This window comes from Homo sapiens, chromosome 5, assembly GCF_000001405.40.
Source record: "Homo sapiens chromosome 5, GRCh38.p14 Primary Assembly".
NCBI lineage: Eukaryota > Metazoa > Chordata > Mammalia > Primates > Hominidae > Homo > Homo sapiens.
This window is the reverse complement of record NC_000005.10, coordinates 160,607,716-160,632,610: the sequence shown is the minus strand read 5'-3', so window position 1 is coordinate 160,632,610 and position 24,895 is coordinate 160,607,716. Positions and strand designations below refer to the sequence as shown.

General features: G+C 42.7%; 1 protein-coding gene across 11 annotated transcripts in view; it reads left to right on the top strand.

Annotated features, from left to right (window-relative positions):
• ATP10B (ATPase phospholipid transporting 10B (putative)) overlaps positions 1-24,895 on the top strand; it is a 366,241-nt gene that overhangs the window by 296,750 nt on the left and 44,596 nt on the right. For all 11 annotated transcript variants that reach the window (XM_017009252.2, XM_047416995.1, XM_011534468.3 and 8 more), the window contains 6 exons: positions 244-482; positions 10,026-10,217; positions 11,661-12,264; positions 14,638-14,747; positions 16,647-16,773; positions 19,686-19,870. In XM_017009252.2, the coding sequence (XP_016864741.1) occupies positions 244-482; positions 10,026-10,217; positions 11,661-12,264; positions 14,638-14,747; positions 16,647-16,773; positions 19,686-19,870 (1,457 nt within the window). The remainder of the gene's footprint in view (positions 1-243; positions 483-10,025; positions 10,218-11,660; positions 12,265-14,637; positions 14,748-16,646; positions 16,774-19,685; positions 19,871-24,895) is intronic.

The window sequence follows — 24,895 nt, the reverse complement described above, 5'->3', positions numbered from 1 at the left end:
AATAAAGTGACAGGTTATGTCAAAGCTCAAAGTCACATAACTAGTAGGTAGTCCACTAGAGTTTGAATCTGTGGGACTTAGTTTTACCCTTCTTTCTCCAGTCTTGGTAGCCCAGATGCCAATTTTTCAGAGTAGCATAGGCCCTTCCCATGCTCTTACCACCCCCCACACAAAGTCTAGGTTTTCCCCAACATGGTCCAGCCGAGGTACAACTAGTGCAATAACAGGACTCCTTTCTTGCAGCTAAGCGACTGGAGACCCCAAAGGAGCTGGACTCAGATGGTGAAGAGTGGACCCAATACCAATGCCTGTCCTTCTCGGCTAGATGGGCCCAGGATCCAGCAACTATGAGAAGCCAAAAAGGTGCTCAGCCTCTGAGGAGGAGCCAGAGTGCCCGGGTGCCCATCCAGGGCCACTACCGGCAAAGGTCTATGGGGCACCGTGAAAGCTCACAGCCTCCTGTGGCCTTCAGCAGCTCCATAGTAAGTCCTGACTTTTGCCTTTGAACTGTAAGTGTTCTGTGGGAAGAGAGGGAGGGTGCTCTGGAATGTGAAAAAGAAAAAATTGTACAAACCCTGAAGAGCTTTCAAAATGGTGCCCTTGGTTTTGTACATACTCCACACATGTGTTTTGTTGGCATAGACAATTCTTGTTCATTAGAAATGTTCAATGTTTAGAAATCAGAGATTTTATGTAAGCATATAGACTTTTTTGCTTCTCTTTTAAAAATTGAATTATAAAAATTCTCCACACTAAGCCAGCATTTCCTCATGGCAACAACTGGCTTGGGTTGAGAGGTCCCTAACTCTTAGACTGGGCATGCCATCTTCAGCTCATCACAGCCCCCCACCCACCTTCTCTATGTATCCCGTCACTGAGGTGGAGGCAACTGCATACTCATTATGCATGTTTTTAAAATTATACAGTTAGGAGAAATTAGAAATATTTGTTATGCTTATGTTTCTATAAGGGAGAAAAACAACAGATAAGCCTGTAAGGCATGTGTGTTTGAAGAAAAATGGAAGAATATACTTTTTGGTGATCAAAAATAAGTTTTAAATAGTTATGAAGTAAATAATATCTATGTCAAGATTACCCAGACCATTTCATTCCCTTAACTAATTCCCTTCGGCCCTTATGGGCATTGCTGTTTGTGGCTTTGGTCTGGGGCTTTCTGCGTATTGTCCTTTCACATTTGATCCACTAGGATAGCCATCAGCAAACATCCAGGTAGCAAGCAAAGAAAACCAAGTTTCTCCCCAGAGATCACACAGCATTCTTAGAAGTCAAGGCAAGACCAGGGCTTCTGCCCACTGTCCTATTCCTCTTTCCTTTGCACACACTCTTTCTCCGGGGAACATAAAAACACATCATCTGGAATCTCTGCACTTGCACAAGAGGCCACAGGGAGCCCCAGCAATCTTGAACAAGAGATACATACTAACAGATGGGACCCAAAGGGCTACCATCCCTTTATTAGAAAATTAGATTATAAAAATGGTCCTTTTGGCCAATTTTTTCCCAGTCTTTTATTTCCCCCATGAATACACACACACATAACCACATATATTTAACATTTTTTGTAATCATGGTACATATCAATTGTAGATGCTGGGATTTTCTTTAACTTGATATCAAAAACATTTTCCATATTGCTACTTAGTATTCATAACCAAGGACTGTGTTTTCTGACTGTGACAAAGAAGAAACACTGTGAGCCTCTGTTCTGGGTCATTACTCATCTAACTTTGGGTGAGGACAAAGTTGAGTTCCCTCTCGGGTTATTGTCATGCACGGAAATGCAACATTAGCAAGGATAAGGCAAGAACAGTGTGTTAAGACATATGACCTTCATAAATACACAAGTGAAATGATCCATAGATGTCTTCAGGAAGATTTTCATGGTTTTTTTTATTTTCCCAAACGAGATAATAACAAGGTGTGTATATTGCTACATCCTTCTTAATTTTGCCCCCATAAATGTAATGCACTTCCCCGAGTTATTTTCTTAAATATTTGTAAAATGACCTTAGTGAATTCTCATTAGGCACAGATTCTGTGTGTCGTTGGCATCTTCCAGTTCTAGATACCACAGGCATCCCACATGCCTGAGTATGTCTCCCCCAGAAAATGAGCGGGAGAAAAAGGAAGCTTTCCTTTGTGGATCTCAGTTGGGTCACATCAATTCACTGCCCCTTGTTCAGTCTGACAAGTCTCAGCAGCCCAGAAAAACTGCATCCCTGGTCCAGGCAGTAAATCTTGGATGCAGGGCTTTTAGCTGATGGCCAGTGAGAGGGACACACTAACCCCAGAGCTATCTCCAGATCCTAGATGTCATCATCCTGCCCTGGCTGGCAGTCCCAAAGGCAAGTTCTGACTAAGTTCATTCAGGAGCAGTAAGGAAATTGACACGAGTTAAGTTCCAATTCTTGTTGCCTGGTGAAGGGAAGATGGTGATATGTTCTTTTTATGAACAGCTAAGTATACTCTTATGTAATAAGGTCACTTAAAAATCTGGGGTTAGTGGAACAATTGTATTTTTGAGTAGTTTTGAGGAAGGGCACTGGGCTAAGAGTTAGGAAATGGAGGTTCTGGTTTTAGTTCTGCTACTGGCTTGCTGGGTAACCTTAAGCAACATGTTAAACCTCCTTCTATGTCTCTTTCACCACCTGAAAATACTTTACTTACAATTCTCACCAGGCTGTTCTAAAGATCAAATAACATAATGTTTTGCTGACCTGCAGGCTAACTTCCAGCTATGAATTAGGCACACGTGGAGTCTAATGTGTCAGGTTTTCATCTCAGCTACCCCATGTACTAGCTCTGTGACTTTGGTGGGCTTACTGAAATGGAAGCCTCAACCTACCCATTGTTAAAATGAAGACAATTGTTCTGGCTCATGAGTTTATTTTGAGGATTTAATTCTTAAAATTGTGTGTTCTAGACAGATACCTAATGGAAGTTTTAAATGATCTTTCTAAAGGGAAGCTGTCTGCCTTGAACAAATGTTCACATATCTGATGTCATAAAGAGAAAATGGGGAGTTTCCATGAAATACAGTTGTTGAACTCTCTCCCCTGAGATCCTGGTATATTTGGTCTTGTGTGAGTCCTGAGCACTTATATTTTAATTTCTGATAATTCTAAGGAGCAGCCAAGATGGGGACCCTCCATAAGCAGGCCATCACCCCACCAGGAAAGAGTCTTCACTTGGCTCAAATTGGCACTTTCTACAGCTTGGGAGGCATTTGCTGAAGGGAGTGAAGTATGCAGCCTTTAAGGACTCTTGTGCTAACCCATCAAATACATCTAGCTGGTGTCAGATCCTTGAAGCCGTCCCTAGAGAGCTCCTGTGGCAGCCCCAGGTGGCTGTCTCGGTGCCCACCCCCACCCACTCCTGACAGACTCTCTGCACTTGTCCCCTTCCACCTGCCTTCTGTGCCTTCCTGCACCTGCCCATCTGGCACCCAATCTGTTCTGATCATCTCTTGGAATCACCAGTTCTTTACCTTCCCTTAGTGAACTCAGTCAAAATTTGCCTCTGAAACCTCCAGGGAGCATTCTACCACCTTCTAAAGAAGCCAGTTGTTGGCTTCCTTGGCCCTTTGCTCTAAATCAAAAATAACAATCGACAAAAACAGCAACAACAAAAGCTGTTTTTTTTTCTTTTATGACAAAAAAAAACAAGAAACCATCAGTGATTGTCACCTAATTGCCTGCAATAAAATCTGTGGCTTTAAGGTGGGGGTAATATACTTATAAAAATGGTGAGTTGAGTCCCAAGCCAATGTTTAATAGTACTGGCAGATGGAAAATGAAATGGGTTTTTTTTCTCCTTGTCTGTACGCAGCCAAGATTTCAGCAGAGAGTCTTTGTGTAAAAATGCCACTTGCAGAATGTTTTTCAGTGCCATCAGACCACAGAATATCTTCCTAATCATAAAATTTGTATTGGGGCCAGTTAGGCTCCTCCAAACTTCCACACTGCTTTCCTTTGTGGACATCCCCCCCGCCACCCCACCCTTCTGAAGAGAATGCAACAGAGAGGAGCGAAGGAGGTGTCATTGGACCTCTGCCTCCTTTCACTAATCTTGGTCTGCCTTTCTTTCTTTGGAAGAGATTTATGCAGCACTCCCAGTCTGCTCCAAATCGGTGGGACAGCCCACATACACACACTCCCACTGTAAGGTTAGATAAGAGTCCTGATTTAATTAGCCAAGTACACAGAATCTTTCTGGAAGTGATGTGATCACACAGGGCAGGAAGCAGTGAAGCCTATCTGTACTCCCCTTGTTCCCCAGTGTCTCAAATCGGGGTGGGGGGACCCAGCCTCAGTGACACTGTTCACAAGAGGTGGGAACTGACAAGATCTGGAAAACTCCCTTCTTGCTTCACCACTGAGTTTTTTTCTTTGGGCTTATGCCCCGTTTGGGAAAAGCTTCCCCTAACAATCCATGTGTTCCTATTTAAGTGAGCATTTACTAACATTGGACTTTCCCAGTTCTTGATTCAAACTAAATGTCATTAAGGCCAGAGCCTTAGACAGGACAAAACCATCACTGCCCTAAACAGTGTTAGCCTCCAGCTCCCCAGCAACCAGGAAAATGTTGCCATAATAGTCATAGCCCACAGGGTTACATAATTGAAAGGAACCAAAAGCTGATGGTGGAAAGTAAGTGTCCCTCCCTCCTCTCTTCCCACCACCTCAGGCACAACAACGATTAGCAGCTTCTGTGTGTCCTTCCCAAAGGTGCACAGAAACAGACAAGTATGGCATATACACAAGCACATCCTTCACAAGTGGAAGCATACCGTTCCCACTGTTTAGGACTGTGCTTTTTTAACCTAATGAATTTTAAAGAATATTTCCTATGTGTAGACAGACAGGTAGACATTCAATAGAGAGCTGCCTCATCTTTTATTTTTTTTAATGACTGCTAGAATTCGTTGGATGGTTGAGCCATCATCTGTTTATATATGTGTTTGAGTTTCTCTACAGTATTCTTAGAGCATAATTGCTAAATTGGCCAGTATGTGCATTTTTTTATTCTGGTTGATTCTTCCCAAGACGTTGTACCAGTTGAGACACTCACCAACAACAAACAGAAGGGCCTGCTTCTTCCCACCTCTGCCAGTGTCTACATTTCTTTAGAAGAGCCTTTCATTTATTGGGTCAGTCAACAAACATTCAGTAAGCATCTACTCTGTGGCATATACTGTCCTAGAGACTAGGGACATAAAGTCTAATAGAACATTGCTCCTGCTTTCAGGATTTTACAGCTCAATGAAGGGGCAAAAGGAGCACCAGTGACTATGGGACAATGCTCTCTGGGCTGGGATGTGTGGTTGCAGAGGTGCTATAGGAGCTTAGAAGAGGTGCAGCTATATCATACTGGGGCATCAAGGAAGCTTCCTGGAAAGGTTGGCCCCTGGGCTGAATTTTGAGACAGGAGTAAATATTAACTGGAGGAATAAGGAGACCACCTAGTGAGGAGTGGATGAGGAGTGCAGGTTGTGAGAGGAGACAATCTGTAGAAGCAAGATGGAGAATTGTAGTTCTTCGGAGTAGCTGGAATGAAAGGTGCAATCTGAGGAGGAGGAGGAGGAAATAGAGACATAAGAGGAACTATGCCATGAAGGATTTTCTTCAAAGCTCAGGAACCAGGGTTCCTGTTTATTTCCTTCTCTGGATTCCTGTAGCAACAAACTGCTATACCTGAACTTGGGCGAGTTATTATTAAAACTGAAAGAAGAATAGCAGAGTAGAGTTTGGCCTACTTTTCCCAGGCTTCATTGTGGGAACACATCCCAGCCAGAAAGGAATGAAAACAGTAGGGTTGTCATGTAACACAGACCCTTGCTACTCCAACTGTGGTCCTCGGAGCAGCAGCATGAACACCACCTGAAAGTTTGTCAGAATTGCCAATGCTCAGGCCCCACTCGGAGCTGCTGAATTAGAATCTGCATTTTAATGAGATCCCCAGTTGACATGTGTACATGTTAAAGTTTGAGAAATGTTGGCATAGCGTTAAAGGGTTTAGACTTTGGCATCAGGCAGTACCGAATTTAAGTCCCAGCACATTATCTGCGATTTTATGACCTGGGACAAGTTACTTAACTTCAATGAGCCTCGCTTGTTTCATAATTAAAGTGGAATGATACTAACCATATCAGTGCTCTTAGGATGATTAGATAATGGATGTGAGCGCACTTAGCCCAGTGCCTGACTTTGTTATGCTATGCATTCTCAGTAAGTGTAATCTAATGATAATAGGACCCTTGAGGATATCGTTTGAGCTCAAAAATCAGCTTCCTCAAAGGGGGTTTGTATGCATTTTAGATGGTCTACAATGGAAAGAAATCCAACTAGTTGAGTGTCTGCCTGCCACAAAGCTCTTACATAAAAAACTGGTGGCCCCACAAATGTATATTTCTTTTTCTTCCGAGAAATAGTCTGGACAATGGTCAGCAATGGGTAAGGACACTGCTTTCTTTCTAAGTGCTCTAAGTGCCAAGTTTCTAAATGTTAATGGTCCACATGGGAAACCAGTGGGCTGGAGCAAAAGGAGCCATGAAGAGCCTTGCCCTGTGGCAACAAGTCTGTGGTGACTGGGTAAAGGTTAGCTGACATCTGTTCCTGGCACCTGCAGGATGAGCCAGGGCCTTTTACAGCGAAGGCCTTTGTTTTAATGCATTGCTACAAGATTGGATGGGAATATATAAAAGAGTAGTTTTAATGAACAGACAGCAGGAGTTAATCAGTGGTGAGCTATTGTGGTATCCTAGAAAGGAGTCAGTTAACAAATATTTTGAGTGCTTAACAATCCACCAGGCATGAGGGACACATCAGAGACAGTCTCTGCCCTCATAGCACTTACAGACTAGTGGGTAAATGAAAATGGACTAAATAACTTGAAGCATGTTAACTGTGTCAGCATTTGGAAATACATAATGCATAGCTTGGAACAAAGCAGTGTGTTATAAGAGGATGGGAGTCAGGTGGTATGAAAACTGTCCTAGTTCTGACCCTAAATCAGTGTGTGATCTCAAGCAGTTTCCTCCTTCTGACACTCAATTTTGGCATCAGGAAAATAGGGGATTTAGCTTTGACATCTCCAAGTTTGTTCCTCAACTTGGGTACCTGTGGCAGTAAGATTTAACAGCATCTCATTTATGTACCCTCCCCCTAAAAAAGAAATCTATTTTCTGAAAAAATGAAATTTTCCATAATCCCTTTTATCACTCTCATGGACTATCTGCTGAGCCTTAAGGATTAGATATACAAACGCATCTATTGTGTTTGAGATGCCCAGACACTAAAGACCCTGGGTGGTAGCAAGTCTCAAAGGCCACTTCTTTCACATGCAGGATCTTGCCTGATATAGGTGTTAAGATTATGAATTCTAGGGTCAGACTAACTGAAATCAACTGAAAGAATTCCTCCCACTTACTGTGTGACCTTGGGCAAGACAATCAACTTCCTTGGGCATCAGTCTCCTCATCTTAAATACAGAGACAATTGGGAGGATGATGGTACTAAATAGATAATGTTACTGCAGGGATATAACGAGGCCATGGATGTACTAGAACATAAGAAACACCACATGAATACGAGCTGTCATTACTCTGTTGAGAAATAGGTTTGGAGTTCCTTGAGTGGTGTTGGTGACTTGATGACAAACACTAGATGGTCCCTGGAATCTGGTTTTAGAAGTTTGCAGAGAAATATTAATAAGAGAACATACTGTGACCACAGAAATGAAAAACCTTAGACTAGCAGTTCAGGAGTCTGAGCTCTGATTCTGGCTTTACACTAACTCACTAGGCGACTTTGGTCAAATCAGCCTGTCTCTATGGGTTTTAGTTAAGTCGGGATTCATTTCATCTCAACTTGGGACTATAAGAATCTGATGAGGTTATATAAATGACATTGCTTGGGAAGGTAAGAAGAGTTTCACAAATGTGAGCGCCTACTAGGAAGACTGGAGTCAAAGGCAGAGAGCATGGATAATATGTGTGTGCCCTTCTCAGGATTTTGGAAATAATGACACCACATGGTATGGATGGTTCACACAATTGTTTTCAGGGCAATGGAAGGAAATGTAGGTCTGATTCAGTTTTATTAGCCCTCTTGCTTCTGGTAAGTAGACTTTTTTTCTGGAAGTTGTCTTCTTACAATGGTATGAACAAGTTGGGGTGTGACTGTGGACTCCTGAAGAGCACCCAGAATGAAGGCTGGTATTCTTGAAGAGTGTGTGCTCCATTCTTGTGGGGTATGTCTGAGTTTCCTCCCCTCTGGCTCTCCTGTGCCAGCAGCCCTAGGGAGGACAGAATCAGACCTCTGGGAGTCATTGCATTTGGTAGTCAGAAAAGTCTGAGGGCTCTTTTCCCATGGGTTTTTTGTTTTTGTTTTTAAACTCTCAACTTGGGTAAAGTTCATTGGCCCTCAGTCTTCACCCTGCACAAATTAATCAAGATTCCCTCAGTCTATCATTTTCAGCCATTGACTGTCTTCTAAACCGTGATTTAGCTGTGAACTCAGAACACTGATAGGAATGGTCTTATGTGAAAGCATTGTGCAAAATGGCTTTTGTCATATCTAACCATTGAGAGCTGGCATTTGTTGAGCTTCTGCTTCAAAAAAGCTGTAGTTAGAGCTCTAGGAAATACAGCCTCATGGAAAACTCAACCTCTCTATTTTTGAGGCTCTTACCTTATCTCTAGAGAGATTAAACAAGGACATAAGAAAAGTGAATTTAAAATACAGGCCAAAGCAAGATGCCAGCAGGGAGATAGACAAAACCAGACACCACCACTGCCATTGCCACCACCACCTCTGCTCTGGTTAAGATCTCACTGCCTGAGAGAAGCTTTTCTGGCATCAGATCCCTGGGGTAAAATAGAGGAGCCAGAGCAAGAGAAAATAAGCCAACAAATAACATATAGGTCAATATGTAGTGAATTCCAAAGGGATGGTTCAAGTGGTAACTTCTAGAAAGATGTGAAAATCTGGAAATCCATGGGTCAGATCCAGCCCGTCCTCTTTTTTCTTCCAAAGAAGAATAGGAGGAAAAGAAAAAAAAAAAATAGGTCATGCATCATCTTTGCTTTATCTTGAAAAATCAAGAGACTTGGCAAACTAGACCAGTATTGGAGCATTACACTCAGCAGAGCAGTAGCTACCCTTTAGATAGTGGTAGGACTTGCTAGGTCTCATAGCTCCCACCACCCCATAATGTCCTCTACTCTACATTGGCCCACCTTCCTCATTCACTTTACATGCCTGACTCCTGTGGACATTCTGAGTTAAGAATCTGCTATTGTGGTTCAGGAGAAAGAGACTTCATTGTGAGCTATATAGGATCTCACGGACAAGCGGGACTTCCCATGGTTATTGAAGTCTAGGTAGGATTTTGGTAGGTAGAAGAGGATTTTTCAAGCAAAGTGTGATCAGAGGAATACAGGAGTATACATCCAAGAGGCAGCAAACAGACCACCAGGCTGAGCTGAGGGTCCATGTTGAGAAGCATGGGAATAAAGAGTGAAAATGCAAACTGTGAAAGAATCTAAATGCCAAATAATTGATCACGCTAACAATGGATATCTCCTGAAGGTTTTTTGAAGTCAAGAATGCCAGGAGGAAATGGAGTTTTAAGAAGACTGTGCAGGTGATACATAGGAAGGATTAGAAAAAAAAAGGTGAGAGGCAACAGTATTAGTTTAGAGGCTGGTGCAGAAATTCAGGATTGAGGGGTAGAGGGTCTCAGCATGGCTGGAAGCAACACAAATGGTGGGAAGACACTGAGAGTGAAGAACTGTCAGCATCTGGTAATGGATGGACATGTGGCACTGAGAGGCAGGAAGGACTCAAATAAGAATTGGCAATGGCCAGACCTGTGGGAGAGGAAAACATGCTGGATGCAAGACTGCAATGAAGCTGCATCATCCTTTCCCCAGGCATGTGAAGATTCTTCTGGAGTGGGCTTCCTTCCCAGAAAAGACTCTCATTCTGGCCTTTCTCTTCCAGGAAAAAGATGTAACTCCAGATAAAAACCTACTGACCAAGGTTCGAGATGCTGCCCTGTGGTTGGAGACCTTGTCAGACAGCAGACCTGCCAAGGCTTCCCTCTCCACCACCTCCTCCATTGCTGATTTCTTCCTTGCCTTAACCATCTGCAACTCTGTCATGGTGTCCACAACCACCGAGCCCAGGCAGAGGGTAAGGACCAGCGATGGCTGGGGGAGGAGGGTAAAGGAGGTAGAGGAGTAGAAGGCAGGGTAGGGGCGAGGGGAGAAGTTCTGATCAGGGAGACATGAAATTTGGGTCCTAGCAACAGTGTCATTTCATCACAGTGAAACCTAGAATAGGTCTCTTACCCTCCCTGGGTCTGTTTCCTCATTTTTAAATAAAATGGAAAAAGATACATATGAGCTTTCTGTGTAGCTTTCAAACTTTGTCTATGTGTCTGCAGGTAGACATTAAGAGTTAGTGATTACTGAGCACTTGGCTTTATGCCAGGCTCCATACCCAGCACTTTACCTGTATTATCATTTAATCCTCTCAACCCAGCAACTCTATGAGGCAGGACCTTAGATTTAACAAGCGAAGAAATAGTAGCTCAGAAAACTCAAGGTAATGAAGGACATATGGCTCATAAATGGCAGAACCATCTATGCAATTCCATAATGGTTTCTAGTAATATTGTGCTATATTGCTCTCTGTTTTTATATACGGGTTAAAAATAATACTGTGTGTAATGTTCTTCCCATGGAAAAAAATGCAGCTGAATGGTCATGTATGTGAAGTTATACTCTGAAATCTACTGAAGGTGGATTTGCCTTCAATCTTCCACAGACTCTTAGCCAATCACCCCTGTGAGCTGTGAGTCACTGAGAGAATAATTAGGTGGTACAACTTGCAACTATGAAACCAAGACAAGAAGTTTCACCCAGGCACTAAACCACAACCTCCCTTCATTATGCCCAGATTCCAAACCACCCTGAAAATCACTTCAGCACTGAAAAGTCAGCATGTTATCAGAAGTCTTCAGGAAGTTTTTGGAGGCAGAAAGCTTTATCTTAAAAATTAATTCATTTTTAAGAGGGGAAGAAGTACCATTTGGGGAAAGACAGTAGGCACCTCCCAATTTTCAAGTTAATGTGGGAGCTTCAGCTGGCTGGGAGCTTCAGCTGGCAGGTAGCTCAAGAGCCCAGCCTCTGGAGTCGAGGAGACCTGGGTTTGAGTTCCAACTCTACTCCCTACACACTGGGTGATCATGGCCAATTTATGTAGACTTTTTGTACCTCAATGTCCTCAGCCATAAGTTGGGTTGATGATAGCATCCCACAGAATTATTGGGAGGATGAAATGAGATACCGCACTCAAAGATAAAGCAGAAGCATTTATAGTGAGAGTTCAGGAAATGTGAACCCTTACTATGAGTTTCTGATTCTCATCTCCTTTTCCTTCCTTTCTCCACGCTCACAGTGGGATGATCAAAAGATAGTGGAAAATGACCATTGTCAATGCTTAGAATTTCAGGGCTGGAGGAAAATATCTGGCTTCACTTATTGCAAAAGTACCTTCATATTCCGCATAAGACAACTTGGTATTATTTCCAACATTGAGAGTAATATTCCACTTTCCTTCTTTGGCCACAAGGTCACCATCAAACCCTCAAGCAAGGCTCTGGGGACGTCCCTGGAGAAGATTCAGCAGCTCTTCCAGAAGTTGAAGCTATTGAGCCTCAGCCAGTCATTCTCATCCACTGCACCCTCTGACACAGACCTCGGGGAGAGCTTAGGGGCCAACGTGGCCACCACAGACTCGGATGAGAGAGATGATGCATCTGTGTGCAGTGGAGGTGACTCCACTGATGACGGTGGCTACAGGAGCAGCATGTGGGACCAGGGCGACATCCTGGAGTCTGGGTCAGGCACTTCCTTGGAGGAGGCATTGGAGGCCCCAGCCACAGACCTGGCCAGGCCTGAGTTCTGTTACGAGGCTGAGAGCCCTGATGAGGCCGCCCTGGTGCACGCTGCCCATGCCTACAGCTTCACACTAGTGTCCCGGACACCTGAGCAGGTGACTGTGCGCCTGCCCCAGGGCACCTGCCTCACCTTCAGCCTCCTCTGCACCCTGGGCTTTGACTCTGTCAGGAAGAGAATGTCTGTGGTTGTGAGGCACCCACTGACTGGCGAGATTGTTGTCTACACCAAGGGTGCTGACTCGGTCATCATGGACCTGCTGGAAGACCCAGCCTGCGGTGAGTCCTGCCTTACCAGGGTTCCAGGCACAGAGAGTTCTATAGTTTAAGAAGCAGTGTGGAATGGTAATAAGAAGCTCAAGTTGTAGTGTCACCTGGTATGGCAGGTCCCAACTGGAATACAGACCTACAAGATGTTTTCCTCAAATATCCTTAAAACATGCTGCATTTTACATCTCCTGGACCTAGGGAATCACAGTGTCCATTAGCATATTTAAAGACTGTACAGTCTTGTAGCAGATAAACATCTTTAACTTCATCCCAGTTTTCCAAACTCATTTAAACATGGATTATCCACACAGTCTTTTGCACTAGAACATCCATTATCTTACCATGGAACACATTGTGGTCCTAACTCTTCATTTTGGAGAAAAGCACACTCAACTTAGAAAGAAAAGTGACTTACAAGAGGTAACATGGTTAACTAGTGTTAAATCCCAGACCCAGGTATCCTGAATTCCAGGTCAGAGCTTGTTTCATGCTGCCAGAATTCTGCACTGGGCTTGGTGTACTCTGGGAAGCCTCAGGTGTTCCTCTTTATTATCCTTTTCCCCAGCCTCCCCCAGATGGATTTTCATAAACGTGCACTGAGCCAGAAAAATGTTCCAAAGTCCCTACATATCAGTGTCCAATTTTGGAACAGCATGAATTAGTGTGCAGCCGCTTCCTGATTGCTAACAAGGAGAAGACAGTTATGGGGCTATGATTCTCCCAGGATAGTAGATTCCAGCCAAGCTTCAGAATTGCCCAGGCAGCCCTGTGCCTCCTGCATTATCAGCCATGGATCAGGGCCAAGAGGTTTATGGGGATTGATTAGTGTGTAGAATGGGAAGGGAGCTAATTAGTTCTCTTTATTCCCAGACTCTGGCAGACAAGTGAATTCAGTACTTCTGAGTCAAGGGAGCCACGGCACTCTATCCCTCAGCAGCCAGTCATCCAAGCTGCCCTGGAGATGTCTCTTTATTTGCTCCTCACCTGATTGAAAAATGGATTAGAGATGCCTTCAATAGAAGTCACACACACAATGTTACTATAAGAATTGAGAAGCAAAACTTTGAAAGGAGGGAGAAAATGACCTCAGGTTTAATAATATTTATGGTGTTTAAATGTTCAATTTGATGCTGAGGTTCCTGGCAGCCTTAGCAAGAAGGTAAACTCCAAGGCTTACAAGTAAAAGACAAACAGGTTTAATCTCAGGAGCTGGTGTCTTTAAAAATAAAATATTGTAAATAGTGCCGAATCAGGCGATGCACAAATGAAGACTATGCTTAAGGCGCCAGCAACACCTGAAAAATGAGAAAATAATCTTTGAAACAAGTTTTATATTATATAAAAACAGCCTTGGAGTAGTATCATGGAAAAATCAGAGTTTTGTTGGACTTCATTATACTTTTCTGTTAAGAATTACATTTTTAATTTTGCATTATATACAAGGATGGGTGAGGTATACAAATTCTGTTCAATCTTAGGACCTTTAAAAAATCTCAATCCAGCCCTGGTAAAAAATGATTCTGAAGCCTAGCTCAGTTTTACAAGCGACTGATAAATGATGTCTGTGGCAGTTTAGATAAAGGAAGTGCTGATGGCATCAATCCCACCCCACACCAGCCAACCTTGGCTGAAAAATTCTTATTATAGAATTAGATAAAGGAACTGGAATTTCAAGAGAAAAAGACAAATTACCTCTGACAGAAACTTATGTACAACTTTACAAAGGGGACTTTGAGCAACACACATATTTTTCATACTACATTCATAGGAAATGCATAAAAGAATGTTTTCTCTAAACGTATTTCTTGCATTGAGAGAAGGCCTAGCTCAGCTAAACAAATGAAATGAGGAACTTAGCTAATGAGATCCAGGCTTGTAGATGTCTTGGGACCTAATTTGATATAAGACCTCAAGTAGAAGATAGAGAAGATGATAAATAGAGAACAGTTTCCAAAGTCAGTTGGCCATCCAGAGATCAACTAAAAACACCTTAGGTAACAATAAAGATTCAAACTTCTAGTCCCCTGATTCAGCTGGGCTTTAACTGGACCTGAGAATCTCAATTATTAAATTCCCAGGCGGTTCTCATGCAAACAGCTGTTTGGGAACAGTACCTTAGACCACCTACCTTCCTTACATAGCACTTTACTCAGCCAGGCTTTTGATGAAAAGATGTAGAGAGCAGACAGCTTAAGGACTCCCTGCATTATCTTCCAGGGCAACCTGACAGCCAGGAGAGCTCCTTCAGGTTTCTAAGGTGGGCTGTAAGGGATTCCTTCTCTAAAGTATTTGTAGTCTACTACAGGAGATTCCAGGGTATTGGGGATGGGGATCCCTGAGCATTTGTATGTGGCCTCATGCGGGAAAATGGCTATTTGACAGTACCTGACATTAATATGGAAAAGAAGCTGAGAAAAATCCGAGCCCGGACCCAAAAGCATCTAGACTTGTATGCAAGAGATGGCCTGCGCACACTATGCATTGCCAAGAAGGTAAGAACAATTCCTCCAAGCGTGCTTTGAATATCATTAAATAGCTGAATGGCCTTGACCCTGCTTCTTTTTCTTTATAAAAGACCCTTAGAGGTGGTTGTTTTAACATTTTCAAGATTAGCTGTTCTGACTTGCCACAAAAACCCAAGACACTGACAATTTTGTGGAAGCCAAAATCTGAAGAGCTAGGTCCCATATCAGTGTGGCTTTGCCATGCCCTGCTTTTCATTATATGTGTAATGGGTAACACACAACTCATGACATTTTTTCAGTTATAATTTTGTTTTCCAATTATATTTTTTAGGTATGCATTATTTTCCTTTAAATTTGGGGACCTTTTATATGGTCACATAAAAATCTAGATTTCCGGTTTCTTTTAAAAATGTAGAGGATCTGGCCAACTGTGTTTTCATTCTAGAATGGCAGCAATCAGCTACAACCAGGAAGAAGTTGATTCCTGTGATGAGGGATATGTTCAGCTGTGTTCTGTGGTTGGCCACAGTCCCTACCACTCTCTACCTCTCCCTATCACATTGCACTCAGCCCAGCCATAGTTTTGTAGATTACCTAACTCATGCTTTGCAAGATCTTTGACTTTGCAACTTCTGCAAGGCAGGCAGGCAGTGAGGGCTGCGAATTGCAGAGTGTGGACACCGAATGAGTCACCCAAAAGCAAAGCTAATGGGGTGCTATGATGGGCATACATTTCTAGATGGCTAGACATGGGTTCTCTTGCATAAATCCCCAGGACTTTTCATGTCTTTTATGGTTCTTAGGTCAGCATTAGAGATCAGGAGTGCCCACTTTAAAGCCAGAACCACCTGGGTACTAGTCCCAATCTCACTACTTTTAGATGTGTGACCTTGAGCAATTTCTTCACTTCTGAGTTTTATCTGTAAAATGGTGCTAATCAGCCCTCCCTCATGCAGTTGTCATGGAGATTAACTAAAATAACCACATGTGCAGCACCTGGGACAGCAACAAATGCTTACTGCTACTCTGAATCAGTATTACACCCTTACCACCATTTTCTATTAAAGTTATTTGTGCATATTTTGCCTCCCCTAATGGACTATGCATTCCTCAAAAGCAAAAGGCCTACTTGTTCCCTTTCGTTTTCTCTATAGTGCCATGCAGAGGGACTCAGGGAATATTTGATGCTTGAACAAAATAATTTTTCATTGCTATAAGACACCATATGCATGTAATGTCAACAGGAGGGTCTAAAATGGGACTCTGAGGGAAGAAGATGTGGCCACTAGCTGGATTATTCCAGCTACTGGGCACTCCATGTGTATGACACCATGCCTGGTGGAGTGCTCTACAGGCTGCTTTCTTTCCAGCCTCATTTCTGAACTTTCTCCGTCTTTCATTCAAGGAACAGAAGGAAGGCCAAGTTCATTGCCGTTCCACAGCCTTAACTCTTGCTCTTGCCCATGATTGACCCTCTGTCATTGGATCTCAGCTTGCAGGTCATTTTGTCGAGGAAACCTAAACTTCAAAAGAAGGCAGCCCCCTATTCAGTTATTCTTCTATCCCATCACACTTTCTCATATCACTCATTTACTACCTAGCATTCCCTGAAATAACTATTTTAAATTATTTATTTGGATAATACCCCTCACCTTCCACCACCATATAAGCCCAGGCATGCAGGGACCTTGTCTGTCCAGATCATCTCCAGTGATCTGAGCACAATAGATTTTTAGTGATAATGGAACACAAGGATAAATCTTCATTAATTTACATATTTAAAAAAAAGTCTTTGAGAAGAAAGCCCCATCTAATTATGTAGGGAAGTTCAAACAGGCCAATAGGAGACCCAGCAGGTGGGAAGAGAGAGGAAATTATCTTGTTGGTCCACCCAAGATTGTTAAGGAGCCTTTTCCCATCCCATAGGTTGTAAGCGAAGAGGACTTCCGGAGATGGGCCAGTTTCCGGCGTGAGGCTGAGGCATCCCTCGACAACCGAGATGAGCTTCTCATGGAAACTGCACAGCATCTGGAGAATCAACTCACCTTACTTGGTAGCTAAAAATAAGTCATTATTATAGGAAAAAAGGAATGCAGCCAGTTGAGAAGGGAGCTCTTGGCCCCGATTCTGACACTACTAATATGTCTCCATTAGCAGCCTTCCCTGGGGTTCCCTTCCAGGTATTTGGCACAAATGGGCCATGCCAATACCCAACCCAGACACCACACACAGCTTCCTGAGGATGCTCTGGGAGCATTCCTGCATTCCCTGCTGGAAGAAGCCTCTGAGTTTGGCTGCTTTTCCAACAGCACACTCTTCCCTTCATTCAAATGTTTGCTAAGCACCTACTATGTGCCAAGTGACATGCTAGGCTTTGGGGCTGCAACAAGGGACAGGAGCCAAAAAGTCTGCCCTCCCAGATCTTGGAGTCTAGTGAGGATACTAGATGATCGAGCAAGCAATTTCAACAGACTGGTGAGAGCTGGGCTAGCAGATGGGCCTGGTGGGATGGAAGCACAAAAAGTAGGAGATGCCAGCCTAGCACAGGGGTGAGGGAGGGTCTAGGAAGGCAGTGAACTGAAAGCAAGAAGAGAAGCTGGTTAGGCAGAGGAGGAGGACCCAATTGAAGGCCTGGAGGTCCCGGGCTGGGGGGAAACAGAGTGGGGAGAAATGATGGAAGGCAGGAAAGGTCAGCAGGACCCAGATTATGAAGGGTCATGTCAATCAGCTGCTAAAGGTTTGGAGAGGGCAGAGGGTGAAAGCAGGGACAGATCTGTGCTTTACAAAAACTGCTGCTTGCTGCAGCATGGAAGTTAGATTGCTATGCTGAGAGAGAGAAGAGAAGCACAGAGACTGATTAAGAGACAGGCTGTGCTTCTGTTGGAGGAAAGGCATTGCCAAGAAGCAAGGGGAGCTTTATTCAACAGGATTAATGTCCTCACACCTTGGGAGCAAAATCTGGGTAAACAATGCCCAAACAGCATGCACTGGCCACGTGGCAAAAAGCCTTCTTTATTCTTGGTGGACAGTGTTGACCTGGGGATGAGGACCAAGTTCTGGACAGAGACACACTCCTCTGAGACTTGGCTTCTCTGGATGAGTCACATGCCTCCAGCTGCCCAGCCAAATAGGAGTTCCAAGGGGAAAGACCCAAGGTCACTGTAAAGTGGTGATGCTGGCAAGTGGGATGGCTGACAAGCTGAGGAGGGAGAATGGGGTTGGGGCATGCATTAGCTCCCCACATCCTTCAGCCTTTGGTTTCCTATGTCTCGGCTGCAGAGGCCTCTGCTTGCTACCTCATAAGGTCCCCTTTAAAGCTGAACACAAGAACTCACTTGAACAGGAACCAGAGGATGGCTGGGCCAGACAACTCTATCTGCCAGATGATGCCACCAGAAAGTCATCCCATTCAGGCTCCTGATCCCTTTCTCCCTTCCCAGAGGTTTCTTTTGTTTCATGACAGCACTCTAGGCTCAGTCTGTGAGAGGTGTTCCTCCGGTTCTTCTGGGTGAAGAGAACACACTTATCAGAACCTGTTGGCTTCCCCTAGCTGGGAAAGGCTTTCACAACCTTCCTGTTTCATTTTCTCTTTCACACAAATAAATGTGTTTTTCCTCCTCTCTCCTTCACTCTGCCTCACCGTAATAAGTGAGCTTCTTCTCACCTTCCAGACTAACGCTTATAGGGGAAGATGAGGCTCAAGCCATCACTTTTTATGGGGTTGTTTACCTGTGCATATGGCCCTCAGATGCAAAACAGGCACATTTCAGGATAATGGGGTTCTTTGTCTCCCCTCAAGATGGCTTGGAGAGGACTGGGCTGAGAAGAGAATTCCACTTTCCACCGAGAAATTGGCACACCACTAAAAAGCTGTAATGCCTTCATGCTGTCTCAAAATATGAAATAATCTTTTCAATATGCATCCAACGTAACCACTTTGCCAACCTATTGTCACTCTGGATTATTAAAAGAAACAAAATGCCGTGCTCCTGCCCAGAGTGAAATGGGTAGCCATTAGTCTGTGATCTGAAATGAATCTCAATTGAAAAGCAGATTTATTTTTGCTTAATCACTTAGCAACTATTCAATATTTGGATATCTATTCATCAGGGCTGGTGCAAAGCTTGAGATCCTTCAAAAATTATGGAATCTGCATGTTTAATTCACTCCAAGAATATTATCAAAAATATGAGTCCCTATTAATTCTGCTTTGATCAGTTGCAGGGCAAAGATTTCAGTCTTTCCACTTCTATTCCTATTGCTGCTAGGCCAGTCCAGGCTACTGCTGCCTCTCCTCTGCAGTCCTGCCTGGCCTCCTAAGTAGCTTTTAGTTCTGAATCTCATCCTGCTTTTCCAATCTCAAACCTATTCTCTAGAATGATATTCTTAAAAGTCAAAACTGATTCTATCACTCCCCAGCACAACACCCTTGAATAACTTTCACTACCACCAAATAAATTGCAAATCCTTTGAGGCCCTGACAAGGCTCTGCCCAGTCCAGCACCCCTAAGCTCCTTTTCTGGCCTCATCTCTCACCTTGCTCTGCCTCCATTTCTGCATCTTCCTCTACTGTAGTCTCTGGGACTTCACACACACTGATCCCTCTACCTGGAATTTTCCTCCTCTGCCACCTCTTTGCATTATCTCCCAGGTCTCAGTTTAAGTAGCACTTCCTCAGCATAAGCCCACCCTGATTTTCCAGGTGAAGTTCAGGTCTCCTGGTGTATATTCGCATGGTATCCTGACTTTCTTTCATTATATAGCTCAGTTATAAATTCTTATTCAATGACCATTGAACTCAGAGGTAGAGACCTGCTCCATCTAGTTCACTGTTATATCCTGGGTACACAGCCTAGCACAGTGATGCTATCCAATAAACATTGCCTGGCTTCACATGGCTTTGGGGGAATTAAGCAACTACTCTTTTACGATAAATGTGAACTCTGTTGTTTTTCATCACTCCAGGAGCCACTGGGATCGAAGACCGGCTGCAGGAAGGAGTTCCAGATACGATTGCCACTCTGCGGGAGGCTGGGATCCAGCTCTGGGTCCTGACTGGAGATAAGCAGGAGACAGCGGTCAACATTGCCCATTCCTGCAGACTGTTAAATCAGACCGACACTGTTTATACCATCAATACAGAGAATCAGGTGAGGTGATTCTCTGTATTGATATCTGCAGATATCAACGTGTAGAGCAACCCCTCAACCAAGAGGACACAGGCTTCTAGGTGGGATTTGGGTACACCAGGGAAGCACCCAACCCCCAACAGATCACTGAATCTTGGAGTCTAGAGGACCCTGGAAGTCATCCAGCCCAATATCCTTTATCTCATCCCCACACATGGCTAGCTGGTCTCTTTTACATTACTTCTGGCACTGCTTGTTAGAAAGTTTTACCTCTCCCAAATTCTACTATTGGTCTAGTCTCCCCATTTCCCCACAGATAAGGAAACTGAAGACTACTGGGGCTAAGTCTCTTGCTCAGGTTTACCCTGCTTATTTCTGATAGGTAGAACTAAGTCTAGAACTGAGCTAGTGCTATTTACATTCTACCACACTGTTTGCTTATGGAAACTCAACTGTCGGTTTCTTACTATTTAAGACTAACTTATCCATTGAAAAAGTCCCAATTAAATTGAAATTATTCAGAGCTTAAATTTTCAGCATCAATTTATATGTCAAGCTGGTCTGCCACAGAGTAAAAACCTGAAAGGAATAATGCATGAAGCCAATATGTTTTTATGGGATGAGAAAGAGAAAGAATGAAGCAAAGATCTAAAAATGGCACTTTTCAACTGGAATAGATTACGGGTGGCAGGGAGTGAGGTTTGGAGAGAAGACTGGGAAAGCTGAAGAGGCATATTCAAAGCTATAACACCGTTTTGATTTTAGGGGGAAGTATCTGTTTTCACAATTCAAATTGCAGAAGGTAAAGTTCCACCACATCTTCTTGGCTGATGAAGATGGGAAGTGGGCACTGAGATTGTGTGCTCCTATCAGAAGGAAGCAGGGGTTGGATTCCATGGAGGATATTAACCAGAAGAGCACTCTACTGCAGGGGTGTGGGCGTAGGGCCCGTAGGGCACCTACACCGAGGACATACCATGGAGAAAACGAAAGAAGACGGAAAAAGGAAAGGAGGGAGAGAGGACACCGGACTAAATTTTGTCTGAGGCTGATGTAGACTACAGTAGAATGTTGGGGAGGTTTATATTTCATTTTTATTCCATGAAGCAACAATATACACCTCTTTTTTAAAAATAAAACTAGTGTAGATTATGAAAAATGCCAGAGGACCTTTAGATGAATTGGAAAAATCATTTACTTTCCTGTCAGGTGCACAGATTATTAGATTAAACCTTAATGAATTTTCAAAATGAAAATAAGCTCAGGGAAAACTTGGGCTTTAATATTATGCTTAGGAAGGAAAGTAATTTTCAGCTTGCTTGAATGCTTGATCCCTGTGCCTGCCTGTCCTGCTTGTAATGGAAATTCGGTTTGCAATGATTCTTTCACTCCAGGTAATTCTAGAAGGAGAACATCTGCAAACCAGTGAGGCAGCCAGCCAGAGGGAGATCGAGTGGGCTTCCATGTGTTCTGCTAAATGCCATGCACTCCTGCTCATTGGTTAAACAGCCAAAGCTCCTAAGGAACAGTCAGCCATACTCCACCTTTAATTCAGTCAATGACGAATCTTTCTGTCCAGTATCTTCCAGGACAGTGCCTGAATCCTCAGCCATGCCTACACCCTTGGGCTCACTAAACCTGTAAGATTAGTCTTTTCATCTCTTTACCTGGGATGAAAAATAATATGTTAAGCCAGAAACTGGGGAAATACATTCTAAGTCTTAGACTTATTTAAACCCTAGTTTAATGTAGTTACATATTCCGTGGATATTTCCTCCAAGGTTTTTAATTTGCCTAATTCACTATAAATTGATTTAGGATTATTATCTCTTTGCTAGGTGTATTAAAGCAATAATCAAGTTATGGGATCGACCTAGACCTCAGAATTCTCATCCGGAAGATGAGAGAATTACTAACTAATCACTGAAGTGTTCATCAGTCAAGGAATTTTAAAAGGAACTAAAGTATTAGATAGGAACTAATACTAAAACCACTATTATTGCTATTGCAATATTGTTAATAATTAACAACCTATATTGAAGTTTTAATATGGCTCAAACACCATTCTTCTTGAACTTCTCTTCATCTGTAAAACAGATAAAAAATATTAACTTCACAGATTACTGGTAGGATTAAATAAGATCATAGAAGAAAACTACTTACTTTTAGTACATTACCTATGCTAATTATCTATTGGTACATAACAAATTACTCCAAACCTTAGGAGCTGAAACAACAGACATTTATTATCTTATGGTTTCTGTGGATTACAAGTTCAGGAGCATCTTAGCTGGGCACCCCTAGCTCAAGGTCTCCCTTGAGGTTGCACTCAAGCTGTTGGTCAGGGCTGTGGGCTCATCTGACGGCTCAACAGGTGGGTGGTTTTGGCATGGGAAGGAGTTCTGCTTCCAAATTCACCTACATGACTGTTAGCAGGCCTCAGTTTCTCACTCTGTGGGCCTCTCCACAGGACTGCTATACAACATGGCAGCTGGTTTTCCTCAGGGCTAATCATCCAAGAGAAAGTGAGAAAGAGCACCAAATTGGAAGCCACTGTCTTTTTATAACCTAATATGGGAGGTGACATCCCATCATTTTTTGCAGAATTCCCTTCATTAGAAAGGAGTCTCTAGGTCTAGACCACAGTCAATAAAAGGAGATTACACAAGGGCATGAATACCAGGAAGTGGAGATCACTGGGAACCACCATATTAGAGGTTCCTACCACAGTATAGGAGGTATACTAAATGTTCAGTGAATGGTAATTATTGTATACTTTAAAAGCTGGAAATAAGTAAATTAAGAGATGATTTAATTTTAAAGCTTATGTCTCCAATGACTTGCTTTAGTCATATATTGGAGGAATTTATATAATTGGTGCCAGTCCCAGCTTCCAAAGGACTACTTTGATCTCTTTCCAGATAAGTGCCTCTGGTATAAGCATACACTCCTAGAACTGCTTCCTGTGGCCCGTCTGGGCTCTATGCATATTCTAGTGCCTGCAACACTCAATTTAGCATCTTAAAAGGTAGACACAGGAATAATAAACTATGTCTTTATTCTTTCCAAAATAAGTTATGCCAGGGCAGGGTGCAGTGACTCACGCCTGTAATCCCAGCACTTTGGAGGCCAAGGCACGTGGATCACTTGAGGTCAGGAGTTCAAGACCAGCCTGGCCAAAATGGTGAAACCCTGTCTTTACTAAAAATATAAAAATTAGCCAGGTGTGGTGGCGCATGCTGGTAATCCCAGTTACTTGGGAGGCTGAGGCATGAAAATCACTTGAACCCAGGAGGCAGAGGTTGCAGTGAGCTGAGATTATGCCACTGCACTCCAGCCTGGGTGACAGAGTGAGACTCTGCCTCAAAAAAAAAAAAAAATAAGTTATGGCAGACATATTCCCCCACACAGAAATCTCTAAATCTCTAGATCAATGTTCCCCAACCCTGGCCCTTCAGAACTGCTTTCACAGTTTTTTCCAAAATCTGTATATGACTTGTACTTTTTTTTACTTAATAATTTGACTCACTTTGAATATTATTTTTAGAAGAAACTTTTAGCACTTCAATAAATGTAAAATCATCCTCCCTTGCCATGGATGAAGAAACACTGTAAAATGAAGACCTATGTGAAGAAAACAATGCTACTAAAATTGATAATATTAATTCAAGATGGATTAAAGACTTAAATGTTAGACCTAAAACCATAAAAACCCTAGAAGAAAACCTAGACAATGCTATTCAGGACAAAGGCATGGGCAAAGACTTCATGACTAAAACACCAAAGGCAATGGCAACAAAAGCCAAAATTAACAAATAGGATCTAATTAAATTAAAGAGCTCCTGAACAGCAAAAGAAACTACCATCAGAGTGAACAGGCAACCTACAGAATGGGAGAAAATTTTTGCAATCTACCCATCTGACAAAGGGCTAATATCCAGAATCTACAAAGAACTTAAAGAAATTTACAGGAAAAAAATCAAACAACCCCATCAAAAAGTGGGCAAAGGATATGAACAGACACTTCTCACAAGAAGACATTTATGCAGCCAACAAACACATGAAAAAATGCTCATCATCACTGGCCATCAGAGAAATATAAATCAAAACCACAATGAGATACCATCTTAAACCAGCTAGAATGGAGATCATTAAAAAGTCAGGAAACAACAGGTGCTAGAGAGGATGTGGAGAATTTGGAATGCTTTTACACTATCGGTGGGCGTGTAAACTAGTTCAACCATTGTGGAAGACAGTGCGGCGATTCCTCAAGGATCTAGAACTAGAAATACCATTTGACCCAGACATCCCATTACTGGGTATATACCCAAAGGATTATAAATCATGCGACTATAAAGACATATGCATATATATGTTTATTGCGGCACTATTCACAATAGCAGAGACCTGGAACCAACCCAAATGTCCATCAATGATAGACTGGATTAAGAAAATGTGGCACATATACACCATGGAATACTATGCAGCCATAAAAACAGATGAGTTCACATCCTTTGTAGCGACATGGATGAAGCTGGAAACCATCATTCTCAGCAAACTATCACAAGGACAGAAAACCAAACATCACATGTTCTCACTCATAGGTGGGAAGTGAACAATGAAAACACTTGGACACAGGGTGGGGGAACATCAGACACCGGGGCCTGTCGTGGGGTGGGGGGATGGAGGAGGGATAGCATTAGGAGAAATACCTAATGTAAATGACGAGTTAATGGGTGTAGCCAACCAACATGGCACACGTATACATATGTAACAAACCTGCACGTTGTGCACATGTACCCTAGAACTTAAAGTATAATAAAAATAAATGAATTGATAATGCTGTTTTCTGCCATGATTTTATTAAAAAGTGATGTTCAGAGAAGTTGATATCAAGAATAAATTTGAATCAAAATATGACTACTTTTGATATAATCAAAAGTAATGGAAGAAAAAATTGAAAAAGGAAATACTTTCTCACTATATTTCAAGGCAAACACCAGAAAAAAATTAATAAGTTTATTTCCATCAATAAGACTTTTATAA